This window comes from Homo sapiens, chromosome 10 (genome assembly GCF_000001405.40).
Source record: "Homo sapiens chromosome 10, GRCh38.p14 Primary Assembly".
Lineage (NCBI taxonomy): Eukaryota > Metazoa > Chordata > Mammalia > Primates > Hominidae > Homo > Homo sapiens.
In genome coordinates, this window is record NC_000010.11 from 105,540,092 (window position 1) to 105,563,843 (window position 23,752).

At 39.9% G+C, this 23,752-nt stretch overlaps 2 annotated features.

Moving 5' to 3' along the window:
* Positions 10,086-10,587: an enhancer, noted in NCBI's record as "H3K4me1 hESC enhancer chr10:107309935-107310436 (GRCh37/hg19 assembly coordinates)". NCBI's record gives its function as "activates a minimal SCP1, AML or CMV promoter by ChIP-STARR-seq in primed H9 embryonic stem cells {active_cell/tissue: H9 hESC(primed)}" and the evidence as "EXISTENCE:reporter gene assay evidence [ECO:0000049][PMID:30033119]".
* Positions 10,588-11,087: an enhancer, noted in NCBI's record as "H3K4me1 hESC enhancer chr10:107310437-107310936 (GRCh37/hg19 assembly coordinates)". NCBI's record gives its function as "activates a minimal SCP1, AML or CMV promoter by ChIP-STARR-seq in primed H9 embryonic stem cells {active_cell/tissue: H9 hESC(primed)}" and the evidence as "EXISTENCE:reporter gene assay evidence [ECO:0000049][PMID:30033119]".

Sequence of the window (23,752 nt, forward strand, 5' to 3'; positions counted from 1 at the left end):
TCTTTCTTTCTTTCTTTCTTTCTTTCTTTCTTTCTTTCTATCCTTCCTTCCTTCCTTCCTTCCTTCCTTCCTTCCTTCCTTCCTTCCTTCCTTCCTTCCTTCTTTCCTTCTTCCTTTCAAGAGTAAAGAGTGAGCAAAGATGGAAGTAAGAAGGAAAATACGTTAGGAGTCCATTCAGACAATGGAGTGCCTGCCAAGGAAAGGTTATTGAGGCAACATGGCTGAGGATAATTTTAAAACATATTAGCAAAGTATATTAGGGGAAAAGACAGAGAAAGGGCCTGGAAGAGCTGCCAGGAGTCATGTTTGATTATCCAGAGGCTTCCATTTGAAAGGGTTAGGATACATTGAGCAATGTCTCTCTATCTTTGACGTTGACTGCTTGCCAGCAGGGAAAAATGCAATGATCAAAATCAGAGACCTAGTGTGCACTAGGGCTACCAAAAAGAAATGTTCAGATGCTAAAGAAAAAAAAGAAAAAAAGTCCTTAAAAGGCACATCCTCTTCTGGCACATGGCCAGAGTTCACTGAATCAAGACCCAGATACTGAGCATGGGTGGATAACAGGTGGTCCAGGTGTAACCCCAGCATTTCTCTTGCTGAATCTTGTTTACCCAAGTCTGCATGTGATACAAGGAGCAGAGTCTTATGGTCGAGGAGGAAAATCCTATTCTTTTATTTGCTTAACTATGAAAGAATACATACTTCATGAAGGCCTGGGATTAACTTTAGTGGTTTCACACAGCAGTGTGCATATGAAGAAAGCCAGGAACTTGTTAAAAATGCAGATTCCCTGTTTTTGTATCCAGAAATTATAATTCAAAGGGTCTAGGAGGGGGTCCAGGAATCTTCATTTAATAAACGTGCTTAAGATGATTCTGTTGCAAGAGGTTTTCAGATCTTATTTTGAGAAGACCACTTAGTGGTTCTTAAAGAGATATGCCTCAGAATCACCTATGGAGCTTCACAAAACTATGCCGGCTACTGCTGGCAGAACAATTGTACTCAGGGTTCTGCAGAAGGAGGCCAGTGTCATAGAATGGGTTCCCCAGGAAAAAAGATTAGCATTCAGGGGATATATTAAGGAGGGCTCTGGAGAGTGACATCTCTGAAAGGGAAGGAGATTGGGCAGAGAGAGATGAGCTGTGAAGCAATCTCAACAGAGGCCTTAGACAATCCACAGGACTGTGAACCTCAGATGACCTTTTAGAGTTGTTATTATCTGGGATGAGGGAACTGGATGTTTAAACCTCCACACTGATCAGTCATGGAAAGCTGGCTCCCCCAGGGAAGGAAATGAGACATTAGTCTTTAGCCTCAGAAATCTACATAGGGACTCACAGTGGAAGGCCCTCTGCTAGAAACCTGAAGGTAGATATAAGCAGCACCTTACAGTGTCCACCACACTGAGTAAAATTTTGTTTGGTTTGGTTTTAGCCCCATTGGTGATTCTTAAATGTTCCCAGGCCACAAACCAGGAATGCAGATGTGTCATTGGTTATGAGGAGAAAGAAATGATACTTGGGGTGTTTTCGCAACGAGGTGAGTTCTACCTCTGTCTCCCAGAGAATTCCCATGCCTCGTACGGAATTCAGATCGAGTAGCATCATTTTTCCAAAGACTTTTTTTTTGACAGTTTCAGGCAGAGTTAATCACTCTGCTTTTGGAACTATCACTTATCTTGTATAAACTTTCATGATTACATGTCTATTCTCCCTAGTAGTCTGCTTATTTTATTGGGACCATGTCATATTCATTTCTGTATCCTCAGCATCTAATAGGGTCTACACATAGTGAATACTTATGAATGAATGAATAATTATTTGTTTATCAGTGACTGGAGGGTTAAGAGTAGAGGCAAAGAGAAGCTGATGCTGTTAACAAACTTCCTTTAGTATCCCAGAGAAAGACATTGAGTAAGACAGATGATATTGCCACCATCCCTTGCAACAGCACTGCCTTAAGAAGGCTTAGTAAACACAGATTTCTAAGCCCCTCCTAGACCCTTTGAATTACAATTTCTGGATATGAGGACCAGGAATCTGCATTTCCTTGCAATTCAGCTACAGCACCTCTTAGTCTACTCGGGAACAAGGGACTATTGTTTTGTTTTTTTGTTTTTTTTTTCTCTAGAATAAATTTCAGGAAAAAATATTTTTAAGTGATTCAAACTCTAGAGTGATCCTGCCTACCATCTTTCTCTCTAACTCATGTCAGCCGTGTCACCTTCTTACCTGTTAAAGGATTATGTGTCAAATGAGTGGTGTGAAATGGTGTACTAGCAAGCTGGTGGCAGATCTCACAAAGCCCCCCTTTAGTGATTTTAGAAAACTAAAACCTTCCCCCACTTCCCCAGTAATCCAAATTCCCCACTAAGTTCCTTGAGCTGTCCAGTGTGACTATGATGCATATTACTAACCCCAGCCACACAAGTGAATTCCCAGCTGTGCAGCCCTTGGCTTGATTAGGTTGCAGCCTGTGCTCTACCTCCAATCACTTGCATGAGCAACTCTGAAGCAGAACAACCAGCGATCCGCCACAATAACAGGTCACCGAGGGCTCAGAGGGGAAGGGGGAACACAGTGAGTTTCACAGGTTCCTTATCCATCCTGAGAAATGCCTGGGGACTCCAGTTGTTTGAGAGCCTGGTACCATTACAGGCTCCTGATGATTTATTTTAGATTTGTCCTGAGGGAGAGAGTATCAAAATTTCCTACTGATAGCTTGTATAGGTGAATGATGCTGTTACTTGTTCAAGCAGAAAAGAAGAGCTTAGAAACATAATAGGAATTTTGGCTTCTCCTGGGTGTCTCTAAAGCCAGAAGTTTTCTATTATGCAAAATCCACAGTGCTTGAAACCTTCAGGTGCAGGGAGAGAGCACTCATCCTGCAGCCCCTACACACCTGACTTCATCAAATGATTGCTTTACTATAAGATGGCATTTTAGTATAGATGATTTTCAGGAAAGAGACTAATCCCTCCGGAAATCCTATTAATACTGTATTTGTAAATCTATAAAAAGCCCTACTGTTTATAAGCATAGATAACTGTGAAGACAATAAAAGTGGAGGTTGTCAAAGATTAGTAAAATAGCTTGGATGTATATGCTAAGGAGTACTTCAAGGGAAAAAACAAACAGGTGACAGGGAAAAGGGAGCTAAGTTTCCCAAATGTCAGATCCCACATTCATATCACCTCACTTTTCCCTGTGATAGAGTGGATGCCATCTGTATTTTAGAAATGAGGAAAGAGGGGCTATGGATTAGTGAGGGAATATTTCAGATTTCTGCTCAATCCTCTCATCTTCCATGCCTCCATTCAGAGAGCTGAAAAGAGCAGAATCTGAAGAAGGGAGAGAAGGAACAAGAGGATAGAAGATGGTGGCAAATGTGAAATGGGCTAATACATTATGTTGTAGAAAAGTATCATTAGAATTACCTGGGGAGTTTGCTAAAATGGGGACACTTTCAGTTTCCACTGATGCATAACACAGCATTCCAAAACTTAATGTTGTAAAACAAAAACAAGCCGTTATGTATTCGTGATTTTGTGAGCCGAACAGGTAGTTCTGCATCAAGTAGGTTGACAGAGATGGTGGGATCTGGGAAAGGCTCAAAATAGCCTCACTCAACAAGTTAGTACTCATTGCTTGCTGCAAGCTCATCTGGGGCTTTCAGCTTAGCTAGGTTACAGTTCCCCCAGTGGGCTTCTTCACAGTGCAATCAGGACTTTCTCAGCATTGCTGGCTGGGTTCCAAGAAGGAACATTCTCAGATGACAGGCTCCAGCAGGTAAGCCCTTCTTATGCCTTCACTTGCTTCACATTAATGTCCCACTGGCCTAAGTCAACCAGAAGGACAAGCCCCAGAGCCAGTATGGAGAACCCCATGAGGACAAGAATACTGGGAGACATGGTCACGGGACCTATCTACAGAGGGCTTCCTTTACCCCACCCTAGACCTATTGCGTAAAAATCTTTGGAAGTTGGATACAGGTTATCTGCATTTTTAACACACTTCCTAGAATATCTCCACAGCACATCTTCCTTCCTTCCCTCATCTGCCTCCTACCTTCTGCCTTTCAAACTTGCTTTATGCTAAAATTCTTTGTTAATTCATTAATCAGCAAGGCAATAGGTTTATTGATTGCGAGAGAAAGAGGCTCATTGATCTGGAGAGAAAACAATATCAACAATCACAAAAATTCCACTAAAAAAGCTCTTTGTAGTTACTAGTGACCTCCATGTCACTATTAAATGAACATTTTTTCAGTCCTCATCGTACTTGATTTCTTACCAGTATTCAATATTGTTGATCACTCCCTCCTTCTTAAAATACTCTTTCCTTGTTTTCTGTGATATATCACGCACACTTCTGACTTCTTTTCTATAACTCTGCTCACTACTTCTAGTATCTTTTTGGTTCATTTTCTTGTTCCTAACTTCTAAGTGTTGGTAGTTTTCAAGGCTTGGTTCTTACAGCTTTTTTTTCCTCAATCTGTACTCTCTCCCTAGGCAATCTGACACTCACCAAATGCTTCCACCATCAACAATCACCTGCATGCAAATAACTCCCAATGTTATGTGACTAGCCCAGATCTCTACTCTGAGCTGTAGACTCAAATGTCCAACTATTTTCTCTCCATCTCTCCTAGATTGTCTCAAGGGAATTCATATTTAGGGTGTCTAAAACTGCACTCAATCCTCTCTTTTACTCCATCCCAACCTCGTCTTCTTTATTTTGGTAAACCGTACTGTTATCTAGGTACTTCTGCAATAAAGGAGGAGTAATTCTGACACCTCTCTATTAGCCACCCACACACCCCATTCAATCCATCACCACTCTTGTTGATCTTACCTCCTCTAATATGTCCACCTCCCTGCATCATCTCCTGCAGCACCCTAATCCAAACTGCCATCATTTCTCATCAGAAAACAAATAAACACTAAAAGCTTTCTAAGTTCCCCCACCCCCAGGATCACTTTTTTCTTTCTCTTTCCACCCTCCTGATCCACAAGCCTTTCCCCAGGTTTCAATCAGAGTCATCTTTTAAAAACACACCCAATCATGTCATCATTTCATTTAAAACCTTCAATATCTTTGTATTTATTTTATAATAAAGACCAAAATCCTTACCATGATTCACAAGCTTGCTTCCTCCTCAGCCCCTTTGTCAATCTCCTTGTTTTCTGTGATTCACCTTCCCTGGCCTCCTTTCATTCTTCAAATGCACAATCATCTTCCATATGAGAGCCCTGAGCCTCCTTTAAGAATGTCTCCTGGCTCCCATTTTCTTTCTGGTTCTTCACATCTTAGTTCACATGTCTCCTCCTGTGAAACAAGTCTTCACCATACAAACCAGTCTACTCCAGGGCTTCTTATTATCACACTCATAGTCCTATGAGATTCTGATTCTTATATTTAAACATTGTTTATGATAATGCATCTATTGCGTGCTTTTTATAAGAATGCCCATCTTCCCCAATAGATAGTGAAATATATGAGGGCAAGAATCACGGTAAAATAAAAATAGAGATGGGAGTCTCACTATGTTTTCTAAGCTGGACTCAAACTTCTGAGTTCAAGCAATCCTCCTGCCTCAGCCTTCCATGTAACTGGCACTGCAACCAACCACCTTTTTAAACACATTATATTCCTAGTGCTTGTCACATAATAGGTACTCAAAAATATTGTTGAGTCAGTGAATGGAGGAAGGAAGGAAGGAATAAAAATGCTTGCTAGGACTATAGTCATGCCTAAGGTGCTATCTTTAATGTTAATTGCCTGCTTCTTAGGATCCATGAAGGTCTTTCTCTGCTGGGTCTCTCTTTATATGCTATACTCTAATCTTCTAGAGTAGACCACTCCCAGCTAGGACTGCTTCATTTTATGCCACAACATTGTGTCAGGTTAGCCAGTCAGAGTGATGCTGCCTTCAACACCAGCATTTAGAGCTGCTCTGTCCAGAGTGAACCCCTTTCCTGGGCATGTTTAGTCTTCTGCTAAGTCCTAGATCTCTGAGTCTGTACTTGCTAGAAATTATCTGGCTATGGTAGGCATAGACCCAAGATTTGATAATGCTTCTTAATTTTTTTTTCAGACAGAGTCTTACTCTGTTGCCCAGGCTGGAGTCCAGTGGCACAATCTTGGCTCGCTGTAGCCTCCTCCTCCTGGGTTCAAGTGACTCTCCTGCCTCAGCCTCCCAAGTAGTTGGGATTACAGGCTTGTGCAACCATGCCTGGCTAACTTTTGCATTTTTAGTAGAGACGGGGTTTCACCATGTTGGCAAGGCTGGTCTTGAAGTCCTGACCTCAGGTTATCCGCCCACCTTGGCCTACCAAAGTGCTGGGATTACAGGTGTGAGCCACCACACCTGGACTGATAATACTTCTTTAGCTTGGTTTCATGAGCTTAAAAAATAAAAAAGAAATAAAACTTGATTGCCAATGTTAAGTGAGATAAAACCCACCATAACTGGATCTAAAGATAGCAGGAGACTTTGGGGACGTGGTGTTAGATGAGACCATTTTTTTTTCATGTAAATGGAAAACATTAATATTAGGATGCATCCCATGCAAATTGTTTGAAATCTGCAGGGTATCTGCTTCCTATTTCCAACAAAGCTTGCCCTTGAGAAGTGTAAGTTTGTTTGGTTTCTCAACTTACGTGAATTGAATTTCTGACAAGACAACCCTTGACACAACCAATTGGATCAAGCTGCTTTGACACTTTGAGATGTCTAAAGCATACTGAGGGCAATTGATCAGATTCCATTACTGTCCATTCACCTTCAGCTAATCCTTTCTGCCTTGACCTACTCAAGGGAGGATTACTGAGAAATTTGGTTGCTGCCATTTGTGAGGGTTGAGTATGTATAGACTCCTAATCATTACTGCACTTTGCACTTTTAATGGATATTTTTGTCTTGGTAGTTTCCTTTCCTCCCCTTTGCACACCCCCAAAATTGATTTGTGTATAGACTAGCTTTACACTTTGATGGATTGGAAAAACAGTGCTCAGCAGTTTTGCATTGGGGAAGCTATCTATATTTTATTAAGAATAAAAATGATTATTTAAAGATTGAGTTCTTAGAATGATTTTACATGGCCCTAGCCAGCATGGTCAGTACACTCGATAACATAAACCTTTACCTGTCTCCAGGGGTACCTCTCATTTGGTGAGCTTCACTAACCTCTGAATAGCTATACCATCTCCAAGGAAAGACATATAAGGTCTTTTTGCAATTAAAGGAATATAGGTTTTTTTCTTCACTGAGTTTGACAATAGGAAAAAGGCCTCAAACATCTCAAATTTAACATGCAGCAAACTAAGATGATTGGTGATTTAAAAACATCTACTCACTCATTTATTAGTTTATGCATCTTCTGTCTACCTATCTACTCACTTATGCAAGGAATGTGTATTGAGCTGGTACCATTACCTAGACATTGAAGTAGACAGTGGAGATATAAATGACAAATAAATACACACTACACATTTCCTGCCCTCTGGATTTCATATTTGTGAGAAGGTAGACATAAATCAAATAAACATACAGTAAATGTGAAGTTATAGCTGTGAACACTACCATGAATGAGAGTAATAGGGTTTGGCTCTGTGTCCCCATCCAAATCTCATGTGAAATTGTAATTCCCAATGCTGGGGGAGGGACCTGGTGGGAGGTGATTGGATCATGGGGGCACATTTCTCCCTTGCTGTTCTCATGATAGTGAGTGAGTTTTCATGAGATCTAGTTGTTTAAAAGTGTGTAGAACTTCCCTCTTCTCTCTCTTTCTCCTGCTCTGCCATGATAAGATGTACTTGCTTCCCCTTCACCTTCTGACATGATTGTAAGTTTCCTGAGGCCTCCAAGTCATGCTTCTTGTACAGCCTGCAGAATTGTGAGTCACTTAAATCTCTTTTCTTCATAAATTACCCAGTCTCAGGTAGTTCTTTGTAGCAGTGTGAGAATGGACTAATACAGAGAGGTATATTATGTCTGCAATAGCATCTAACAGTGATACCTGGCCTACATGTGGAAGATTGACTTAACTTATGGCCTCTCACTGTACTTAGCTAATTATTGAATGGGTGGGATAAAAAATTTTAAATTATACCTACAATCACAATGTCCACCTAAGATTTTAGTACTGTTGTTGGATTTTGATAGTTGGGAAAAACTTCCTTCACTATTGGTCTTTTGGGCTATAGCTCCTAAGTTTCTTTCAGAATATTGTCTTAACTCCTCATTGTACCACTTAAGGCCATCAGTTTCTTCTTCACTTCACATGCTCCCTACCAAAAAGAATCTACTGCTAAAATAACTGACTCATATTCTGTGACTATCTCACGCATGTTCCCATCTCTCCCTTGCTCCAAATATTAACCTCATCTAAAGACACATATCCCTTTCTTCCTATCTGGTTTTTGGTGGGATTTTTTTTGAGAACAGGTGAGAAATCTAGTGAGAATGCTGAACTTTGACATCATTTGTTTAGAGACAAAAAATTGTATTTACCTCAGTCTGAAGCAGTATAACTGAGTTTGATAACAAGAATTATTACTAAAGGGATCCAAGTTGGCACTTGAAAAAAATGCCAAGTGTTAAATATGAAGAGTGAAATTGGGGTAAAAAATATGTCAGCAGGAATAGACTAATACTAATTATACATCATAATTTATGGAATGTTTATTATATCAAGATGTTTATTAATCACATTGTTGCTTTATTTAATGTAAAAGATTTTAAGGTCATGACAAATTAATCTCTGGTATAATGACACTGAAAGCATCTCCACTACCCTGCTTTCTAATAAAGTTTAAAAATTTAAAGCTTCTTGAAATGGCCATAAGGTAAATGCCAAAAGAAGAAATATTTATTAAAAAAAAAAAACTACGAAAATTCTGTAAGAAAGGCAAGAGTCTGTGGTACTTGAATCAAAACTACCCCCTTCCCTCATCTCAAAACACACAAGCTCCTTCTCTCCTTCTCTCTCTCTCTCTCTCTCTCTCAGTCCCAGTTGTAGGGCTATCTTCCTGAGAAGAGTAGGACTATATTATTTTTATCCTGACTCAAGCCTCTTAAAGTTGAGGCTAAATCCTGAGTAAGTGCAGTTGAGAGGTTGGGGGCCCCTCCTTTCTATCTCATGGAATGGAGGTTCTACTAGAAGTTCAACAATGTTGAGAATTCTAGGGCTCTGATTGTTTATATCCTGGTTTGTGAAGAGGAACTTCCATATCAGAAGAGACAGGCCCAGAGGATCTCAGGCTGCTGCTGCTCCTCATTACCATGTGCTCAGCACCAAGTTCAAAAGTGTGCCTCAAAGAGAAGCTTGCCATTGTTCCCAACCACAGCTCCAGATCTCTGGCTCAGAAGTTTTTGCCTTGGTGAGAACAAGCCCATTAAAAAGATAGCTTCTAATCTCTTCCCAAAATAACTGATTTCATTTATACAGAGTGTGGAGAAGTTCAAACCTAAGGGTGCCCTTAAGAACAGCGAAGGTTGAGATGAAAGGCAAATCTACATAAATTTCCTATCCATATATTATAGTTCTAACCAGATACATAAAATTAACCATCACTGTCTGCTAGCAACAAATTCTCCTAGTTTGTGTTTATCTAAGTCCTTCTCTTTTCTTTGTTTTCGAAAGATAGATTTGTTAGATGTGGAACTCATGGTTGACATAAAACTTCCCAATTTACTGAAAAACAACAACCTACATATCCCAGGGAGCTCAAAGAACTCCAACTAGGATAAATACAAAGATGTCCACCAATAGACACATAGCAAAAATGCTGAAAGTCAAAGATAAGGAGAAAATCTTGAAAGCAGCAAGAGAAGAATGACTCATCATTTATGAAGGAACCCCAATCAGATTAAAAGATTACCTCTCAGCAGAAACAATGGAGCCAGAAGGCAGCAGATTAACAAAGTGCTCAAAGAAAAAATTTTATCCATAACAGCACAAAGAAGGTGGATGGAAGCAAAAGTGCAGTGGGCTGAGGAAATAAGAGAGAGTAAAGTAATAATTAGAATAGTAATTGTTGAGTTTGTAACATTAATAGATGTTGTATTAGTATATTTGGGCTGCCTTAGCAAGATACCACACGCTGGGAGGAGGAGCCAAGATGGCCGAATAGGAACAGCTCCTGTCTACAGCTTCCAGCATGAGCCACACAGAAGACAGGTGATTTCTGCATTTCCATCTGAGGTACCAGGTTCATCTCACTAGGGAGTGCCAGACAGTGGGTGCAGGACAGTGGGTGCATGCACCGTGCATGAGCTGAAGCAGGGCGAGGCATTGCCTCACTTGGGAAGCGCAAGGGGTCAGGGAGTTCCCTTTCCTAGTCAAAGAAAGGGGTGACAGACGGCACCTGGAAAATCGGGTCACTCCCACCCAAAGACTGCGCTTTTCTGACGGGCTTAAAAAACGGCGCACCAGGAGATTATATCCCACATGTGGCTCAGAGGGTCCTACGCCCACGGAGTCTCACTGATTGCTAGCACAGCAGTCTGAGATCAAACTGCAAGTCAGCAGCCAGGCTAGGGGAGGCGCGCCCGCCATTGCCCAGGCTTGCTTAGGTAAACAAAGCAGCCAGGAAGCTCGAACTGGGTGGAGCCCACCACAGCTCAAGGAGGCCTGCCTGCCTCTGTACGCTCCACCTCTGGGGGCAGGGCACAGACAAACCAAAAGACAGCAGTAAACTCTGCAGACTTAAAAGTCTCTGTCTGACAGCTTTGAAGACAGCAGTGGTTCTTCCAGCACGCAGCTGGAGATCTGAGAACGGGCAGACTGCCTCCTCAAGTGGGTCCCTGACCCCTGACCCCCAAGCAGCCTAACTGGGAGGCACCCCCAGCAGGGGCAGACTGACACCTCACACAGCTGGGTACTCCAACAGACCTGCAGCTGAGGGTCCTGTCTGTTAGAAGGAAAACTAACAAACAGAAAGGACATCCTCACCAAAAACCCATCTGTACATCACCATCATCAAAGACCAAAAGTAGATAAAACCACAAAGATGGGGGAAAAACAGAGCAGAAAAACTGGAAACTCTAAAAAGCAGAGTGCCTCTCCTCCTCCAAAGTAACGCAGTTCCTCACCAGCAATGGAACAAAGCTGGATGGAGAATGACTTTGACGAGCTGAGAGAAGAAGGCTTCAGACGATCAAATTACTCTGAGCTACGGGAGGACATTCAAACCAAAGGCAAAGAAGTTGAAAATTTTGAAAAAAATTTAGAAGAATGTATAACTAGAATAACCAATACAGAGAAGTGCTTAAAGGAGCTGATGGAGCTGAAAGCCAAGGCTCGAGAACTACGTGAAGAATGCAGAAGCCTCAGGAGCTGATGCGATTAACTGGAAGAAAGGGTATCAGGGATGGAAGATGAAATGAATGAAATGAAGCGAAGGGAAGTTTAGAGAAAAAAGAATAAAAAGAAATGAACAAAGCCTCCAAGAAATTTGGGACTATGTGAAAAGACCAAATCTACGTCTGATTGGTGTACCTGAAAGTGATGGCGAGAATGGAACCAAGTTGGAAAACACTCTGCAGGATATTATCCAGGAGAACTTCCCCAATCTAGCAAGGCAGGCCAACATTCAGATTCAGGAAATACAGAGAACACCACAAAGATACTCCTGGAGAAGAGCAACTCCAAGACACATAATTGTCAGATTCACCAAAGTTGAAATGAAGGAAAAAATGTTAAGGGCAGCCAGAAAGAAAGGTCGGGTTACCCTCAAAGGGAAGCCCATCAGACTAACAGTGGATCTCTCGGCAGAAACCCTACAAGCCAGAAGAGAATGGGGGACAATATTCAACATTCTTAAAGAAAAGAATTTTCAACCCAGAATTTCATATCCAGCCAAACTAAGCCTCATAAGTGAAAGAGAAATAAAATACTTTACAGACAAGCAAATGCTGAGAGATTTTGTCACCACCAGGCCTGCCCTAAAAGAGCTCCTGAAGGAAGCGCTAAACATGGAAAGGAACAACCGGTACCAGCCACTGCAAAATCAGGCCAAAATGTAAAGACCATCGAGACTAGGAAGAAACTGCATCAACTAACGAGCAAAATAACCAGCTAACATCATAATGACAGGATCAAATTCACACATAACAATATTAACTTTAAATGTAAATGGACTAAATGCTCCAATTAAAAGACACAGACTGGCAAATTGGATAAAGAGTCAAGGCCCATCAGTGTGCTGTATTCAGGAAACCCATCTCGCGTGCCGAGACATACATAGGCTCAAAATAAAAGGATGGAGGAAGATCTACCAAGCAAATGGAAAACAAAAAAAGGCAGGGGTTGAAATCCTAGTCTCTGATAAAACAGACTTTAAACCAACAAAGATCAAAAGAGACAAAGAAGGCCATTACATCATGGTAAAGGGATCAATACAACAAGAAGAGCTAACTATCCTAAATATATATGCACCCAATACAGGAGCACCCAGATTCATAAAGCAAGTCCTGAGTGACCTACAAAGAGACTTAGACTCCCACACAATAATAATGGGAGACTTTAACACCCCACTGTCAACATTAGACAGATCAACGAGACAGAAAGTCAACAAGGATACCCAGGAATTGAACTCAGCTCTGCACCAAGCAGACCTAATAGACATCTGCAGAACTCTCCACCCCAAATCAACAGAATATACATTTTTTTCAGCACCACACCACACCTATTCCAAAATTGACCACATAGTTGGAAGTAAAGCTCTCCTCAGCAAATGTAAAAGAACAGAAATTATAACAAACTATCTCTCAGACCACAGTGCAATCAAACTAGAACTCAGGATTAAGAATTTCACTCAAAACCGCTCAACTACATGGAAACTGAACAACCTGCTCCTGAATGACTACTGGGTACATAAAAAAATGAAGGCAGAAATAAAGATGTTCTTTGAAGCCAATGAGAACAAAGACACAACTTACCAGAATCTCTGTGATGCATTCAAAGCAGTGTGTAGAGGGAAATTTATAGCACTAAATGCCCACAAGAGAAAGCAGGAAAGATCCAAAATTGACACCCTAACATCACAATTAAAAGAACTAGAAAAGCAAGAGCAAACACATTCAAAAGCTAGGAGAAGGCAAGAAATAACTAAAATCAGAGCAGAACTGAAGGAAATAGAGACACAAAAAACCCTTCAAAAAATTAATTAATCCAGGAGCTGGTTTTTTGAAAGGATCAACAAAATTGATAGACCGCTAGCAAGACTAATAAAGAAAAAAAGAGAGAAGAATCAAATAGACGCAATAAAAAATGATAAAGGGGATATCACCACCGATCCCACAGAAATACAAACTACCATCAGAGCATACTACAAACACCTCTACGCAAAAAAACTAGAAAATCTAGAAGAAATGGATAAATTCCTTGACACATACACTCTCCCAAGACTAAACCAGAAGAAGTTGAATCTCTGAATAAACCAATAACAGGAGCTGAAATTGTGGCAATAATCAATAGCTTACCAACCAAAAAGAGTCCAGGACCAGATGGATTCACAGCCGAATTCTACAAGAGGTACAAGGAGGAGCTGGTACCATTCCTTCTGAAACTATTCCAATCAATAGAAAAAGAGGGAATCCTCCCTAACTCATTTTATGAGGCCAGCATCATCCTGATACCAAAGCTGGGCAGAGACACAACCAAAAAAGAGAATTTTAGACCAATATCCTTGATAAACATTGATGCAAAAATCCTCAATAAAATACTGGCAAACCAAATCCAGCAGCACATCAAAAAGCTTATCCAACATGACCAAGTGGGCTTCATCCCTGGGATGCAAGGCTGGTTCAATATACGCAAATCAATAAATGTAATCCAGCATATAAACAGAACCAAAGACAAAAACCACATGATTATCTCAATAGATGCAGAAAAGCCCTTTGACAAAATTCAACAACCCTTCATGCTAAAAACTCTCAAGAAATTAGGTATTGATGGGACATATCTCAAAATAATAAGAGCTATCTATGACAAACCCACAGCCAATATCATACTGAATGGGCAAAAACTGGAAGCATTCCCTTTGAAAACTGGCACAAGACAGGGATGCCCTCTCTCACCACTCCTATTCAACATAGTGTTGGAAGTTCTGGCCAGGGCAATTAGGCAGGAGAAGGAAATAAAGGGTATTCAATTAGGAAAAGAGGAAGTCAAATTGTCCCTGTTTGCAGATAACATGATTGTACATCTAGAAAACCCCATTGTCTCAGCCCAAAATCTCCTTAAGCTGATAAGCAACTTCAGCAAAGTCTCAGGATATAAAATCAATGTACAAAAATCACAAGCATTTTTATACACCAACAACAGACAAACAGAGAGCCAAATCATGAGTGAACTCCCATTCACAATAGCTTCAAAGAGAATAAAATACCTAGGAGTCCAACTTACAAGGGACGTGAAGGACCTCTTTAAGAAGAACTACAAACCACTGCTCAAGGAAATAAAAGAGGATACAAAGAAATGGAAGAACATTCCATGCTCATGGGTAGGAAGAATCAATATCGTGAAAATGGGCATACTGCCCAAGGTAATTTACAGATTCAATGCCAGCCCCATCAAGCTACCAATGACTTTCTTCACAGAATTGGAAAAAACTACTTTAAAGTTCATATGGAACCAAAAAAGAGCCTGCATCGCCAAGTCAATCCTAAGCCAAAAGAACAAAGCTGGAGGCATCATACTACCTGACTTCAAACTATGCTACAAGGCTACAGTAACCAAAACAGCATGGTACTGGTACCAAAACAGAGCTATAGATCAATGGAACAGAACAGAGCCCTCAGAATTAACACCGCATATCTACAACTATCTGATCTTTGACAAACCTGAGAAAAACAAGCAATGGGGAAAGGATTCCCTATTTAATAAATGGTGCTGGGAAAACTGGCTAGCCATATGTAGAAAGCTGAAACTGGATCCCTTGCTTACACCTTATACAAAAATCAATTCAAGATTGATTAAAGACTTAAACATTAGACCTAAAACCATAAAAACCCTAGAAGAAAACCCAGGCATTACCATTGAGGACATAGGCATGGGCAAGGACTTCCTGTCTAAAACACCAAAAGCAATGGCAACAAAAGCCAAAATTGACAAATGGGATCTAATTAAACTAAAGAGCTTCTGCACAGCAAAAGAAACTACCATCAGAGTGAACAGGCAACCTACAAAATGGGAGAAAATTTTCACAACTTACTCCTCTGACAAAGGGCTAATATCCAGAATCTACAATGAATTCAAACAAATTTACAAGAAAAAAACAAACAACCCCATCAAAAAGTGGGCGAAGGATATGAACAGACACTTCTCAAAAGAAGACATTTATGCAGCCAAAAAACACATGAAAAAATGCTCACCATCACTGGCCATCAGAGAAATGCAAATCAAAACCACAATGAGATACCGTGTCTCACACCAGTTAGAATGGCAATCATTAAAAAGTCAGGAAACAACAGGTGCTGGAGAGGATGTGGAGAAATAGGGACACTTTTACACTGTTGATGGGACTGTAAACTAGTTCGACCATTGTGGAAGTCAGTGTGGCGATTCCTCTGGCATCTAGAACTAGAAATACCATTTGACCCAGCCATCCCATTACTGGGTATATACTCAAAGGACTATAAATCATGCTTCTATAAAGACACATGCACACATATGTTTATTGCGGCATTATTCACAATAGCAAAGACTTGGAAACAACCCAAATGTCCAACAAGGATAGACTGGATTACGAAAATGTGGCACATATACATCATGGAATACTATGCAGCCATAAAAAATCATGTGTTCATGTCCTTTGTAGGGACATGGATGAAATTGGAAATCATCATTCTCAGTAAACTATCGCAAGAACAAAAAACCAAACACTGCATATTCTCACTCATAGGTGGGAATTGAACAATGAGAACACATGGACACAGGAAGGGGAACATCACACTCTGGGGAACTGTTGTGGGGTGGGGGGAGGGGGGAGGGATAGCATTGGGAGATATACCTAATGCTAGAAGACAAGTTAGTGGGTGCAGCACACCAGCTTGGCACATGTATACATATGTAACTAACCTGCACATTGTGCACATGTACCCTAAAACTTAAAGTATAATAATAATAAATAAAATAAAATAAAATAAATAAATAAATAAAAGACCACATGCTGGGTGGCTTAAACAACAGACATTTATTTTCTGACAGCTCTGGAGGCTAGAAGTTCAAGATCAAGGTGCCATTAGGGTTGTTTTCTGGTGAAGCCATCTTCTGACGGTGTTCTTATATGGCCCTTCCTCTGTGCACATGAAGAGAGAGAGAGAGAGAGATTGATCACAGGTGTCCTTTCCTCTTCTTAAAAGGGCACCAGTTCTAGCAGATCAGGGGGCTATGTTTATGAGCTCATTTTACCTTAATTATTTCCTTAATGGTCCTATCTCCGAGTCCAGTTACATGGGGGTTAGGATGTTGAACTATAATCATAAGTAAAACAGTTTCCTGACTCCTATGAGTTGTTTCAGGTAATTATTCAACCTGCGAAGGTAGTGGGAACCCTCAAATTTGTAGCTAGTTGGTCTGTAGTGTGGGTGGCCTGAGAATACATAGCTGGCATCTGGAGTGATAAGAGCCTTATGGAGGACTGTGCCCCCAGCCTGTGAAGGCTGTGCCTGCTCTGGGTAATAAATGGCAGAACTGCATTAGAAACACGTACAGAACTTCACTGCTGTGTGGATACTCCTGCATGTTGTTAGACCTAGAATGACAATGTTAGGGAACGTTACTCAGCCAGCTAAGATTTCTCAGTAAGGCCTTCCTTGAGTATCTGATTTCTCAATGACTGTCCACGCCTGTGATGGTTTATTTTATGTGTCAACTTGACTGGGCCACAGGGTTCCCTGATTTGGTTAAATATTCTGGGTGTATCTGTGAGTGTGTTCCTGAATGATACTAATATTTGAATTGGTAGACTGAGAAAAGCAGATTGCCCTCCCCAATGTGGATGGACCTCTTCCAATCTGCTGAAGGCCTGAATACAACAAAAGGCTGAACGACAGGGAATTCGCTCAAAGAAAAAAAAAGAAAGAAAGAAAGAAAGAAAAGGAAAAGAAAAGAAATAAGAGAAAAGAATTCTTTGTCTCTGCCTGATAGTCTTGAGCTGAGACATTGGTCTTCTCCTGACTTCAGACTTGGATTTAGACTGGGACTTACAAACCATTTGGCTCTCCTCTTTCTCAGGCCTTTGGACCTAGGCTGGAATGTCTCAGCCTTCATAATCATGTTATCCAAGTCCTTATGATAAGTTTGTGTATCTATATCTATATATTTACATCTATATCTATATTTACATCTATACCTACATCTCCAGGATTCTCTGGAGAATCCTGACTAATGCAACCCTTTAATTCCTAAAGCACTAAAGCCTTTAAAATTATCAGTAAAAACGATAATATTAGCTTCTGTTTTAAAATATCTAATTAAGCTGCTATCAACTAAGTTAATAAGCCATTTGAAAGTAAGTTCTATGTGAATTTACCATTTAGTACTCCAGCATCTAATACCATACTCTCTAAATATTAACTCTAATAATATATTGCTACTACTTCAAACTACATTCAGTAATGAAGGATAAAAATATAATTCACATGCTTTGATGATCTGCTTTTAATAATTTTAATGTGCAGGAATTTCCCAAAGAAAGATATACTTGATATCGTTTTAGGGAAATCTGGCCAAAAGTTCTATATTTTACAAAGTGTGAGATTGTGCTTCTCTCAGTTCACAGGGAATTTTCTCTTTTAACAAATTCCCGATTCATGACTGAGGCTATATTTATTTCCAAATTATAGACCTAATACACCTTGATTTCCTTAAGTTCCAGAGGCTAGAAACCCCTCGATGAGTTTTCAGAATTAAATCGTACCTGACAAGATTTTATGGAATATATAATGATGCCTCTATTAGGAAGTGAGTACATTGAGACATTCAGCACCACAGGTAGGAAGAACAGAAGAAGCATGTTGGAAAATAAGACAATAAGAACAACAAAATATCTCCCCCCCAAAAAAGTCCCTTTATTTTGGTATTTCTTTTCCTGAAAGAAAAATACTGTCTCCAATTTAAAATAGGTTTTTATAAATAAGGAGCTGTAGGGTCTCCTTGTTATTTCCTAATTTGATGTTCAATTAAACTGGAATATGTCTGCTATTATACATTCTAATCTTCCAGTGACCAGATAAATCTACCTTTATTCTTCCTTTTTGTTATAGTAGAGACAGTGTCCCTTCACCTCCTCTTCAATATAGCAATCCTGTACATATATATACTTCTTACTTGACCTCTCACTGAGGTGTGTGTATCATATCTATAGTATTGTAATTGTACATAGTCAAAAATCTGCTCCTCTTTGAAAAATCTTTTTGTTGTTTTCTATTGTACCACATTCCTCAGGCCTTCCTCTAACCCTTTCTAATTCTTCTTAATACCAGCATGCAAAAACCTCTGGTACTAATGCAGATCTCTCCAATAATGTTGTTGAGGCTGAAATGCCAATCCTGTTAACATTGGGCTGAGCTCCATGATCCATGGGCATTGTAGAGAGATATTCTTTTAGCATTATTTTTTTTCTTCTTTATCCTAAGCAAAACTCCCTGGTGGCTGGGCAACAGGGTAATTTGTATGGCAAGTACTGTAATGAACTCAATCACCTGCTGTTATTAACACGAGACAGTAGCTGCAGGTCACTTGTCCAAGGATGAGTTTCTTCCAGGGAGCTTTTTCAACCTCATGTAAGCAGACTTCTGGTGACCATGCCCCATACATTGCTGGCTATGCCTGAATCCCAAGACCACTCCTATTCATCTCAAGATGCACTCTTATTAATGATATTAAATAAATTATTTACTTGAAAGGAACTTAGCTTAATATACTTTGATGTTTTTCTAATCTGAAAATAATTTTTATAAATCCAGTCATTAAATTGCAGATCTCCTTTGCCAGTTTGCCACAAGGCCTGTTTCTGCCAGAGAACCATAGCCAAATACACAAACTCGACTAATGGAATACACATGAATCTCATTGGAGATGAACAAAGAATCACTCTTAAACCAACCTTAGCTGTTCTGCCTTAGGTATATGCCATTTCGCTTATTTGGCAATGCTGCAAAATGGCAGTAAGAGCTTCTCTATGAGATTAACCTTTCTTTCTGCATCTGGCAGAAACAAGATGCTCACTGCAAATCTTCTGTCTCACACATATAGCAAATCCCAATCATACCCATTCAGCTGAGAGCTTCTAAAAGCCCACTTCCATTTGCTATCGCCATTCTCTCTGCATCCTTCCTCTCAGGCTCTGGATTTGCCTATCTAAGCATCTGACCTTTTGTGATCCTTCTTGACTAGGCTAACCTACTGACGTAGACTGACCAATGGCCTATTTTTTACTTCTTGACTAATTTTTTCCACTGGATTCAACATAAATGCTTGTGAGTAAAACACAGTGCATAAACTTTTCCATTTCAAAAAGGAAACAAAATTTAAATAAAGTTCTATTAAGCCTGAATATATGAAGATGAAGGTAATAGTTGGAAATTCCAATATGATAGTATATAAAATAGATGGAACATTAAATAAGGCATGATATATAGCAACTGTAATCAAACGTATTTACTGTTGATAATTTTAATTAAGGAAGTTGTTAATGGAGTTGTGTATATTCAGGAAGGATTTCATGGCTTTATTTTTAGAAGCACAGGCTCTCAAATTTACAAGCCATATGAATTAAATGAATCCAATGATCTACATGTAATTGAAAGCCGTCCTTCCAGTGCTGGAGAACAATTTTAATTGCAAATGTTATTAAACTGTCCTTGCAAATTTATTTATGTGAACAAAGTTCCAATAGCAGTGCTACTATTTGGTGGTTTCAATGTGTACCATATAGTCATTAAAGGCCTCCAGAAATTAAAATAAGTACCTTCTTCTTTCATTTATTTCTTAAAATATTCACTTCAAATTGGTTCTCTGAAAGCTTACAGTTTGTCTCAGTGCCCCTGACATTTACTTAATATAAGGATCTGACTTATTTGATAGGTGGGAACCTGAGACTCAGGGTAGAAAAATGAATCATTTAGTATCACACAGCACCAAGATGTAGTCAGCGTTGGGGGATTCTGATTTTTAGATGCAGACATGCCTAGATACTGCATATTTGCTTCTGGAGAGAATACAATCTCTAACTTGAATAATTCAAATGACATTTGGAATGGCAAAGTTTGGGACATGTCTGTAGTCAGCTTTCTTTAACATCATTTGTTCATTTTCAGAGGAGTCAGAGAAGATGTGAACAAAGTTTATAACCCAGAGTTGCAACAATCAGCTATTCATTCATTCATTTAATATATAAGTATTGCTGGTTGCATTAATCTTTTTTTGCCCATATTCCATAACCACTTCCTTTACTGAACTCTCACTTGCCAAGTCAATATTCCCCTGCCTTAATCAATGTGGGTTCAGGCACCAGACAACTCAGGACAGCCCCTATAATCCATAGCTCACTGAAATTATTCAAACTATACAATCCCAAACCTGCTTACCTTGCCTCCCCTAATCCTTTCCACAAAAATCACAATAAAGAATTTTGCCCACAGTTTTCCCTCACTCCCCTGCCTCCTGACTAACCCTGGTGCTTCCCCATGTGTTCCTGTATAGCATGGCATGACCTGTCTTCTTCTTGGGAACCATGAGTAAGAAACTATCTTTTTAGGGCCAGGCACAGTGGCTCACGCCTGTAATCCTAGCACTTTGGGAGGCCGAGGGGGGTGGATCACCTGCGGTCAGAAGTTCGAGACCAGCCTGGCCAACATAGTGAAACCCCATCTCTATTAAAAATACAAAATTAGCCAGGCATGGTGGTGAGTGCCTGTAATCCCGGCTACTTGGGAGGCTGAGGCAGGAGAATCACTTGAACCCAGGAGGCAGAGGTTGCTGTGAGCTGAGGTCACGCCACTGCGACTGCCACCCTGGCCATACAAGAGCGAAACTTCGGAAAAAAAAAAAAAAGAAAGAAAGAAACTATCTTTTTAGTAACAATTGTCTTCTGATCTGTTAGCCTCACCATATGTGAATAATAATACAACCAATATTTTAAAACAAGACCATGTCCTAGATATTGTCCTAAATGCTGGAGATTCAGTAGGGAGTAAGCTAGATGTGGCCCTAGTCCTGCTGGATTTTATAGACTGAACCAAGGGCTTTCTCTGCGCCAGTGATAGAGAGTCTGATCCAAGTTTTTAAGGGACTCTTTCTGTATATCTTGCATAATTGTCCTCATTCAAGCTTCAGTTCAGAGCAACAGGAAGATTATGAGATTTGTTGTCAGATCTCTTCATGGTTCTTATGTCTTGCAGGACCTGGGACAGGTTATCTGAACTTCTAGCTACACACATATGGTTATCCTAATACCATTTGCCAAGTCCGGCAAGCTATGTTCATAAGCGAGTTGTAGTATTTCAAAACAAAAGTGTTATGAAGAAACCAGGAGGAATACAGTATGGCTGATCATTTCACAAGAGTGAGTAAAGACCGGCATCCCTGAGGCAACTGTTCTTATAAACTCTTGGAGGACTCACTGGATCTCATAAGCACATTGAGTGTTGCATAAATAAAAATGCAAGCCTTTAAGCATACACTTTACACACACACGAGCACACACACACACTTAGAGCTAGACACTGATAGAGACTTGTGTCTTACACATTAGAATTCAAAGAGTGTTCTTCTTTCCACATAAGGGAATTTAGAGGGGTTAAAAAGAATACACACTCATGCATGTATGCACTCAGGTTTTCTTTGGGAAGTCTATGATAACAGTTACATAAATAAAAATGAATAATAATATAAATGTCCCTTGTCTCTAAGAAAGCAGAACACCTGTCTGCCCACATCAGTTTATGTAATACAAACATCTCACCCCTACCAAAAAAATTTTATGAGCACACTTACACCCCCAGGAAATCATTAAAAATCAATGATCCAGAGTTACAGTGGCACACATTTTTTAAAGCTTTGTTTATCTCCCCTCATTAAAAATACCTTTACAGAAAGCAATAATCCTGATGGTGTGAATTAATAACTGCATTTTTGAGGTTCATTGTTCTTGTTGTACTCATGGTTCACTGATTTCCTAGGCCTGTTTTGTGTACAGTGCTATTTACATAGTCACTGGATTATTATCTGCCTTCCAGAATGACAGGAAAAACCTGGGTCTTCTGGGAGCAGTGGGAAGATTACTTGCACAGAAGAAGTGCATTTTTTAGTAGAACAGAAATCCAGACAGTATTAAAATTAGGGTTATAAAGTAACAAGGACAAAAGGATAGCAAAGTAGAAAATAGAGGGGATCAAACACATTTTTTTTCCTAGTAGAACTGAGAAACAAGCAAGTATCTGATTACTTCATTCATATCACTTCTTAAGTTCTCAAGGGAGAAGGAGTCTATTCAGTAACATATATACTCAGAAAGGCAACAAGATGAGGAGGAAGGAACAGGATATTGGGACCCAGATGGACGAAGATGGGGATCTCTATGCTAGGACTTCCTTAGTACCACCCATCCTTAAGCAAGTGATTGCCTTCCATTTGCTCATGCATTAAAATGGGGGATAGTAATAACTATTGCAGTGGGTAGTTATTAGAATTAAGTGAAAATCTTTGGGTATATACCCAGTAATGGGATTGCTGGGTCAAATGGTATTTCCATTTCTAAGTCTTTGAGGAATCACCACATGGTCTTCCACTAATTTACATTCCCACCAACAGTGTAAAAGCATTCCTATTTCTCCACAGCCTGACCGGCATAGATACATACACGCATATGTTCATTGCAGCACTACTCACAATAGCAAAGACATAGAAGCAACCCAAATGCCTTCAATGATAGACTGGATAAAGAAAATGTGGTACATATACACCATGGAATACTATGCAGCTATAAAAAGGAACGAGATCATGTCCTTTGCAGGGACATGGATGAAGCTGGAAGCCATTATCCTCAGTACACTAACGCAGGAACATAAAACCAAACACTACATGTTCTCACTTACAAATGGGAGCTGAACAATGAGAACACATGGACACAGGGAGGCAAACAACACATACTGGGGCCTGTGAAGGGAAGGCAGGAGGGGGAGAGCACCAGGGACAAGGGCTAATGCCTGCTGGGCTTAATACCTAGGTGATGGGTTGATAGGTACAGCAAACCACCATGGCACACGTTTACCTATATAACAAACCTGTACATCCTGCGTATGTACCCCGAAACTTAAAGAAAATAAAATTAAGTTAAAAAAAGAAATGCCCCTTGTCCTAAATGGCAATGGTTTGGGAGCAGTCACAGCATCTCAAAGGATACCTGGTTTTATAAAATAGCATTGCCATGAAGTCAACAACCAGATAGAAGTCTGGCTGTGGCTTTTCAAGGGAGTCTTCATTTTAAGAAGCTTTCCTTAGTCAGTTGAAAAGTTGAGTTTAAAAATAAATAATGCATAAAGAGGAAAGTTCTGGGCAAATCTTTCTGGAAGGCAAAAATTGTATATTTAAATTTGTGGTTCTTTGAATATTGAGGATATTTTTTGGTTAAGTCATGGGGAGACCCTTCTAAGAAAAGTGACTGAAACACTCAAGTTTTTACATTTGATTTTTCACATTCTGAAAAACATGAAAGATGCCTTTCCCTTTTCTTTG